The following is a 9,529-nucleotide window of genomic DNA, read 5'->3' as shown; positions in this document are numbered from 1 at the left end:
TTCTGCTTGTTTAGATAACAAGGCAGTCATGAATGGTATCAAAATGTGTCCAATACTGACCACATTGCTGGTGTTCAATAAATTAAAAAATATTTTATTCTGTACCTGTGGTCTATACCCTAGAATTCAAACAGTTAACTGTCTTATCTGCATTCAGTATTCCACTGCCACTTAAAATAAATGTGAATTAATATAACAATTCCTCTCAAAATTATATCCGTTGGTTTAAATAGCTTTGCTGTGTGTACAAATACTTTGGGTGAATGCAGTTATTTAATAGTTTAAATCTAGTTTCATTTTGATAATATAGCATTGTTCAACTATTGAAATGACTAAGTTCCCTTTTTGTATGTCTTGTGAGAAACATAGTAACTAGGATATTGTGTTTACATGGTGTCTGTTTTCCTGAGCAGAGAGTTCAAAGCAGGTTATACACATTCCATCTATCTCAGCATCCTTCGGTTATTACAATAAGTCCTTCCACTTTCTGGTGTGATTCTGTCCCCTTTCATCTATCGAGCTTCTTTCTCCCCACTCCCTCCAGCCCTCACTTCCCACAACTTATTTTATGGTTTTCCTCTACTTAATTTCACTATTCTTTAATAGGGTTTGATTTACTGGGCAGGTCCTGCACCAGCTGAAGATTACCAGGGAAATAGCAAGGCATTGGTTTATGGTGTATAGTTTATGGTGTACACCCAGGCATTGGTTTACGGTATATAGTTTTGATAGTAAACTTATCCATTGGAATGTATAAATGACATATAGGCAGAATAAATAAGTGGGTTCTACCAATATTGCTTGTTTTGGAAAAAAATTAACATAAGATTCTAAACACACATTACTACATTTGTTTTTAGCATCAAAGGTCATTACAATAAAGGACAAAATTTAAAGAAACACAGTACATGGATTACAGATTGACATGGACTTTCTAAAAACCCACTGTGATTTATTCCTTCTTGCTGTGGACTGAGTGTCTGTATCATCCCCAAATTTAGATGTTGAAACCCTAATCTCCAATTTAATGGTATTTGGAGGTGGGCCCTTTGGGACGGAATTAGGTTTAGGTTAGGTTGTGAGTGTGGGCTCTTGTGATGGGATTATTGCCCTTATAAAAACAGGATATCTGTCTTTCTCTGCCATGTGAACATGCAGCAAGAAGACTTCAAAACAGAGAAAGAGACTTTACTAGGAATCAAATCATCCAGTACCTTGATCTTGCACTTCTCATCCTCCAAAACTATGAGAAATAAATCAAGTAACCCAATGCAACATATTTTTATAGCAGCCCAAGCTGACTAAGATACTCCCCAACCTGCCTTTGGTTGTGTTTTCTTAGTTTATGGTAACTGTTTCCTGACACCCTTTGTAAGATTCACCCTGTGTTTCTCTGCTCTGCTGGCTTCTAAAGTATTGTTCACAATAGAAAGACCTGTGCATCATGAGAGCTTCCCATTAGGGCCCTGTTGTTCCTGCTTCTGCTGGTCTCTGCCAGCCACTTCTGAGCACCAAATTTCTTCCCTCTGTTATTTTGCTTTATCACAGGGATGGTCAGCAATCCTTTATGAACTCTAGTAGCTATGCAATGACAGCAAGAGGATTTGGCCTTCAAAGGAGCCTCTTACCAAACTTTCTTATTTCTGGAGCCAAATTAACATCTCAACCATTCTGCTCTGATCTTTCCCATGGGTTCCTATGGTCCCATGGCATCTCTTGGTCATGTACACACACAATATGTTTCATATTTTTCCTCACGACTAAGGAGATTTGACTATTCTCCCTCACCAGCACCAGCTCAGTGAGGCACTGGCTTTGATTTTGAAATGGTTTAGCATACAATGGCTGATGTCTATCCATTTTAGAGGAAGCAAACACGTTTACTTCCTTTACTAAATTTCTTATAGGATCCCTGCCCTCTATTGTTCAAAAAACAAAACAAAGCAAAACAAAAAACAGTTAAATTGTGATTTCCTGTTAAACAATTTTAACAAGAACAAAAAATATATTAAGGTATAACTAGCAGGACTCAAAAATATTGACTTACAAATTTTAAAATCCATTTTCCTCCTTTCACTACTGTCAAATAACAGAAGATTCTATCCTGGGACTTCCTTAGTTGTACAGACATCAGTGAATTTGTTAGGATATTTTTGCTTACAAGTAAGAGAAGCCTGATTCAAATGGGCTTGAACAAGATTTGCTACCTAACATTTCTGGAGCTCCGTGGGTAGGACAATCAGGGCTCGAGGCTGTTCCTCTGGGCTCTTCCCTGCATTGTTTCAGATTTACTCTTACCCTGGTACAAGATGGTTGTAAACAGCAACTGTGGCAGATGACTTCTTAATGGGGGTTGAGGGAGTACAGAGAAGCGACAGATTCTACCGTTCTATGGAGTAGGGCAAGGAGAAAAGTGAGGTGCGCAGAGGGGCTAAGTGGACTGCCATGACAAAGGCCTGGGCCAGAGAGGAGATGGGAGAGGAGAGAAGGGAGGTGACATAGATTGAGTTAGAAAAAGGATTTTTTGAATCTTACACTGGAAAAGGAGAGGCACTTTAGGGCATCATCCATGCATGTATGAAATATCAACAGCAAGAGAAATGAGAAAGAAAATTTGAAAGAGGTTTCTGGAGTGTTAGAAATATACTCTCCTTTGGTGTTTTCATGAAAGACTGTAAATTAAGAGTTACATTGATTTTCAATTATTTTGGTCACTGGAGTACGACAGATACTAGAGGTTGGTTTGCTCAACACTTCAGCTGCCATCTCTATTACAGAAAGGTTAACCATATAATTTATCATCTAAACAGGGACACTGGAGGCTAAAAGGGTACCTTATTAATGATTATGCAGGTACTAACAGTGTTAACCAGGACTATCCCATGCAAACCAAGACATGATTTATTCGAATAATATTTTATTTAGAATTGCTATTATAATAGCTATAAAGTGAAATATTCAACCACCTCCCTCACATTTAGGGTGGTCAAGTCTCACTCTCACAGTTCCAGTCCATGAGATAGAGGCAGAAATCCCTGAAAAAGACTTGCCTTTCTAAATAAATCAACACTAGAGAATAGGCATGGCTTCCTTTTCCTTTCTTCTGCTTGGACTACAGATATGGTGCCTGGAGATACATCAGCTACTTCATGACCATTAGGATGAAAGACAAATATCTAGGATGGTGAACAGAAAGATGGAACGACATTGAGATGCTGATGATTTCATAGAGCTGATATACAGGCACAATCTGCTTACCTCCACACTTCTTGTAACATGAGAAAAATTAACCCTAACTTGGAATGGAGACAGTACCTAGCCTTACAAGGCAGTTGCAAGAATTAGATAATGATTATGTAGCTCTTTGTACAGTAATTGACACATAGGGCTCAAAAGCTGGTGCCTATGGCTATTATTATTAACTCAGTTTAACTTGCAGGTGTTTCTTCCTTTTCTTCTAGGATGGGGTGAGTGGGGAAGGCAATAGAGCAACCGCAAGAAATGTTAAAATGTCTATTTCTATAAGCATGATTAAATGATACTTTATATAATGGGGACTGGCAATCAAGACTTCATTTTCTATGGTTGGAGACATAGTTGCTTCTACCAAATGGAAAGAGGTGATCACTATGGACAAAGATAGAGAACTGATTGCAGATATATTTGTTCCAGGGTCCAAAAGTTTTTCACTTTGCTACAGCAATGAATACCTAGGGAGATGTTGATCTCTCAGGTCCAGTGAAAATTTTCCCCAACTGGATCCAGAAAAAGAGTCATTTGGTTTTAGAGATTTAAAAATATTTAAAAGTAACCATTTAAGTTTTTAGATTTTCACACAACCTGTAAGTCAGAAATCTTCATATTCAATCTGCCAGAGGTCTTTGGTAATTAAATCACATTTAGAAATATTTTCCAACATGTTCTAGAGAATGAGATACGTACATGTCTTTTATTCATGGTAATGGAAATAGAAGAAAAACTCATTTCCACAGATACTTCATTTGGGCCCAAAAGTCAGGCCCTATCTTTGTGCTGAGTAGGCTTTCTATAAATTAGGAGGGTGAAGTAGGTGTGGTTCCCTAGAAACACAGACTAAGACAGGCATTTAGCTGCATGTTGGGGTGTGCTCTCTGGAGAGAAACAATAAGGAAATCAAAATAAAGAAGAAAAGAATCTAGGCAGATGTGGTATCACCTGGAGTTTAGCTTTTGCTGATCCCATGGGATGCTTTGGGGTATGAATTGTACCCAAGAGTTGAGCCCACCTTGAGGCAAGCGGTCTAGGATTTTGTACCCTCAAGTCAGCCAGTCAGTGGCTGTGAGGTGTCCTCAGTTGGGTGGCAAAGGTGTTATCTCTCGTGTGGCCTGTCTTTTTTCTGAGGCCAGTTCTTCAGAGAAGGAGACATCCATGAGCCATTAGCAGCCATCATTTACCAAAGCTGGGAGACAGGTGTGCTGGCCTAATAAAGGGGATCTGGGAGATACTCCAATAGAGTCCCCTACAAAGAATGCCCTCATTTGATGTCAACTATGGGCCTCTTTTGCTTCTTCATGGAGAATGTGTTTGAAACCAAGGGATTAATGTCTTTAAAAGGGATAACCAGTGTTTCTGAAGCTTGACCAATATGTGAACAGTTTCTTAAGAAGGGAAAGTTTTCTTAGTTTCCAACCTTGGCTTAAATTGTTTTTCTTTTAACTTTGCTTAAATATATATAAACCCAAAAGTATTGATTAATGTTCTCTGCTTGTATTTCTTAAAATGGTATGAAACCAAAACAAATTAGAAAGTAAATCTTTGAAAGAATGAGACCATAAAAAATCAAACTGACAACATAAATTCAATGTGATGCATGGTGTTATTTTGCTGGAACTAAATTGCTGATCTCAAAGTAAATATGTAACTGTGAAATTGCACAGGAAGTCTCACATGTCTCATGTAGCCTATGTTATATGATGCCATGGGAAGGACCAACTTCCCACCACTCTTCTGTAATAGAACTTTTGTAAAACCCTAATTTGTACAGATCATGAGGATCTGTTTACTTTGAAAGAGAATTATTAACATTTACATACTGATGGTTTCTACTTTTGTCATTAGCTCACAAAAATCAAAAGTGTACATCTTGGCACTGTTGTGATCATAAACCAAAATGCAACACAGACACCTAAATGCTGTGGCCATCCTTAGTAAGTAAATCATCCATAATGCACTTACACAATTTTATCAAAATGAAAGCATCATATTTTGCCATTTATTTAAATAACTTTGTGAGCATTTAGGGACCTCAGAGACTATGTCTGCAACATTCTCTGATACTGCTCTTTCTCATGAAACAGGAACATGTACAGGTGCAGGGTGAGTTTGCCCACGTGATGACACCTGAAATACCCAAGAAAGAGAGTATCTTTCTGACTCCTGTTGGTTGGGACAAGGGGATAGCATGAGGAAGGTGAGAGAACTGGAGGATAAACCACTGACAGTTTGAAGGGCCACAGAGTGGGCTCTTTGCCTCATATCTCACTACAACGTTGACAATGTAATGACAGTGTCCCTGACTGCCTGGTGGTTCCGCATGCAGAGTCTGACCCTCATGCCACATGAATCTCCTGCCCTTACTTCTAACACAGCATGCAGCAAAAGCAGCAGGGAGCCATGGGCTCCTGCCTAGGAGAGTATGGTGAGCAAGCTGGGACACTGGAGTTTTTGCTGCATCCTCAGTGGTCACGAGCATTGCCATATTGCCTGTAGGCAGTCCCAGCTGGGAAGGCTCAAGGACCTGAGTGCTTTTTCCCTGCCGAGGAAGGTTCCTGACTTTCTTGCCTCCCTTGCTTTCTTACAAAGTGCCTGATTCCCTGAGGTAATCTGAATACATCTTTTTCTCACTACCCGAAGAGCTTAATGAAGACAGAAAAAAATAGAAGAGTCTCTGCTGTCATTGCGTGGGTGAAGTCTGCTCCCTAATTCAAGAACAAGAATCAGAAATCAGAATCAGGAACACTGAATCAGAAAGTCCAATGTGAGTCACAGTAGGTTAAATAGAATCTTGGGGTAGAGGGTTGGCATTAGTCCCTTTATGCCTAATGTTCCATTATTGGAACACTAATCATGTGGGAGTTATTTATATCCTACTGTTCAAGATCATAGCAAAGGTCTGATTGCAAAAATTCAAAAAATTGCAACCTCAGGCATAAATGGGTTAAAATCTACTGTGTCAATAGAGGTAAAAGCAAAATGGAAAACCATAGTGGGCAGCTATTGGAGCACAGCTGCAGGTTCACTCTATTTCAGAGTGTTTCTTAATTTAACAATGGAAAAAAGGGATTCAGTGGGGTTAAATGATCTTTAAGGTCTCATTCACTTACTGAACAAATATTTAGTGATCAGTATCAGGCAAAAACTGGACACTGTGCTAGGTACCATATATACAACAGACACAGTATGAGTAGCTCATGCCCTCAGGGTATTCCAGGTTTAAAGGGGAGATACTGGTGAGCAAACAGATGGTCCTGATTCAATGAGACCAGTGCCATGAAGAGAGAGGCATGGAGAGCACACAGGCATGCGGACCAAGCTAGCTTGGCACAGTCAGGGGGAGCATCCTGAAGGATAAGACACAAAGCAAACAGTGAATGCTGGTGTCCTGTTCCATTGTTTTGCTGATTCCACTGCCCAGGGCTCTCATAGGGATTTCTGTGCCAGGAGCTCACTGCTTCCTGGGAGTGGAAGAACAGCCAGGAATCCCGGGACAAAGCTGCACTCAACCTTCATGCTCTTTTCAGTGACATTCATTGAAAGAAGGAATTTTCTGAAAATGTTCTCCACCAGTTTCTCCTACTTCAATTTGTATGTACACCATGAACAGAATGTTTCCCAGATCTCCCTTCATAAGACTCTTTAACTCAGATTTTTTCCATATAAATTCCAATCTCCTGCCTACTTGTAAGACCAAGATCACCTCACCTATCTTATCTTACCTCACTGTTCCCAGCATGCCCTCTTCCATTCATTTAAGTCATAGGCATTAAGACAGCCCTACCTGGTAGTGATCTCTAACATTCATTGGAGAATGATGTAAAGTACTCTAGAAGAGCCTTCCCACTCAAAAAGTGGTCCCTGGACCAGTAGCATTAATGCCACCTGGGAGTTTGTTAAAATTTGCAAAATCCCAGACCCCAGTCCAGACCTACTGAATCAGAACTTAAATTTCAGTAAGATCCTCAGGTGATTCTTGCATATATTAAAATTTGAGAAATTATTTTGAAGAGATAAGCATAATTTAATTCTAGATGACATACAGGCCACCTACACTAGCTTTATTTGTAAGCATAACCTCATTTTAATTTTTTATCTTAAAAATAACAAAAACTTATATTTGTCAAGTTTTTTACTGTTGTTGAGTGAAAGTTACAGCATTTTGTTAATTAATTTGCATAGTTCTGGCATTCTTGCTAATTTTAAAAGCATGCTCAAGGTTCGTAAAATAATTTTAAAAATCAGCAACTAAATATCAACATTTTCTATCACAAAACATATAAACATAAAATTATAAATGCATTGAAAATATAAATGCTAAATATGTATTAACAGATAACATTAATAAAGTATCGTGCTAAAACACATTACATAAGAAATGAGAATTATAAAACATTTAAAAATATAATTTTCTCTTTTTTAAAAGATGAAAATGTTAAATCTTTTTACGATATGATATACATTGATTTTTCTTTTAAACTGCATATACATTGTGGCATAATCTAAATAGAAGAATCATGGTAAATGTTTCCAAAGTCTTAGTACTACTTCTAATTTCTGAATTTTTTTTTTCAGCTTTTATTTTAGATTCAAGGGTTACATGTGCAGGCTTGTTACCCGGGTATATTGCTTGATGATGAGGTTTGGGATATGAATAATCCTATTACCCAGGTACTGAGTACAATACCCAATAGGTAGTTTTTCAACTCTTTTCTCCCATTTTTCCTCCTCCCATCTAGTAGTCCCCAGTCTCTGTTGTTGCCATATTTATGTTCATGAGTACCCACCGTTTAGCTCCCACTTGTAAGTGAGAACATGCTTATATTTGGTCTTTGGTTTTCTTTTTCTGTTAGTTTGCTTTGGATAATGGGCTCCAGCTCCACCCACGTTGCTGCAAAGGACATGATCTCATTCTTTTTTATGGCTACATAGTATTTAATGGTGTATATGTACATTTTCTTCATGCAATCTACCATTGATGGGCACCTAGGTTGATTAGATGTCTTTGCTATTGTGACTAGTGCTGTGCTGTGATGAACATATGAGTGTGTGTGTCTTTTGGTAGAACAATTTGTTTTTAGTTGCATATATATTCAGTATTGGGATTGCTGGCTTCAGTGGTAGTTCTGCTTTAAGTTATTTGAGACATCTACAAACTGCTTCCCACAGCCACTGAACTAATTTACATTCCCACCAACAGTGTATAAGAACTCTCTTTTCTCTACACCCTTACCAGCATCTGTTATTTTTTGACTTTTTAATAATAGTCATTATGACTGGCATGAGATGCCATTTCCTTATGTATTTGATATGCATTTATCTGATGATTAGTGCTGTTGAGCATTTTTTCATATGTTTGTTGGCCACTTGCATATCTTCTTTTGAGAAGTGTCTGTTCATGTCTGTTGCCCATTATTAATGGAGTTGTTTTATGCATGTTCAATTGTTTAAGTTTCTATCTGAAAATAAGGCAAAATGAAGGCAATGTGTGCATTAATACATAATTGGGTAGTATATTTTTGTATACATTTTTCTGGCTGCTGAAACGGCTCTCATGTGTTCTCATCAGGGAATATGAGAAAGAAGATGCTTTATTTTCAAATAATCATATAATTGTTTCTCCTGCTTCAGGGGACTTTTGAACAACTTTCAGGAGCTAAAATTATATATATACATATATATGTATGTGTATATATATATACGTATATATGCGCACACACACGTATATATGTATATCTTCGTGTGTGTGTGTATATATATATATATACTCTTTCTATATGTTTATATGTGTGTGAGTATATACATATATATGACGTGGTTTGGTTTTGTCTCCACTGAAATCTCATCTTGAATTTTAGTTCCCATAATACCCATGTGTCATGGGAGGGACCAGGTGAAGATAATTGAATCATGGGACAGTTTCCTCCATCCTGTTCTTGTGAAAGTTCTCACAAGATCTGATGGTTCTTAAGGGGCTTCCTCCTTTGCTGGGCACTCATTCTCTCTCCTACTGCCCTGTGAAGAGGTGCCTTCCACCATGATTATAAGTTTCCTGAGGCCTCCCCAGCCATGTGGAACTGTGAGTTAATTAAACCTCTCTCCTTTATAAATTACACAGTTTCAGGTATATATTTATTAGCAGTGTGAGAACAAACTAATACAGCAAATTGGTACCAGGTAGTGGGGCACTACCATAAAGATACCTGAAAATGTGGAAGCGAATTTTGAACTGGATAAAAGGCAAAGGTTGGAACAGCTTGGAGGGCTCAGAAGAAGA

The 9,529-nt window shown here is 38.1% G+C and overlaps 1 annotated feature.

Annotated features, from left to right (window-relative positions):
- Positions 6,419 to 6,920: an enhancer, noted in NCBI's record as "OCT4-NANOG-H3K4me1 hESC enhancer chr3:31037859-31038360 (GRCh37/hg19 assembly coordinates)". NCBI's record gives its function as "activates a minimal SCP1, AML or CMV promoter by ChIP-STARR-seq in naive and primed H9 embryonic stem cells {active_cell/tissue: H9 hESC(naive and primed)}" and the evidence as "EXISTENCE:reporter gene assay evidence [ECO:0000049][PMID:30033119]".

This window comes from Homo sapiens, chromosome 3 (genome assembly GCF_000001405.40).
Source record: "Homo sapiens chromosome 3, GRCh38.p14 Primary Assembly".
NCBI classification, from domain to species: domain Eukaryota; kingdom Metazoa; phylum Chordata; class Mammalia; order Primates; family Hominidae; genus Homo; species Homo sapiens.
The sequence above is the reverse complement of the archived record's forward strand: the minus strand, read 5'-3'. Positions and strand labels throughout refer to the sequence as shown.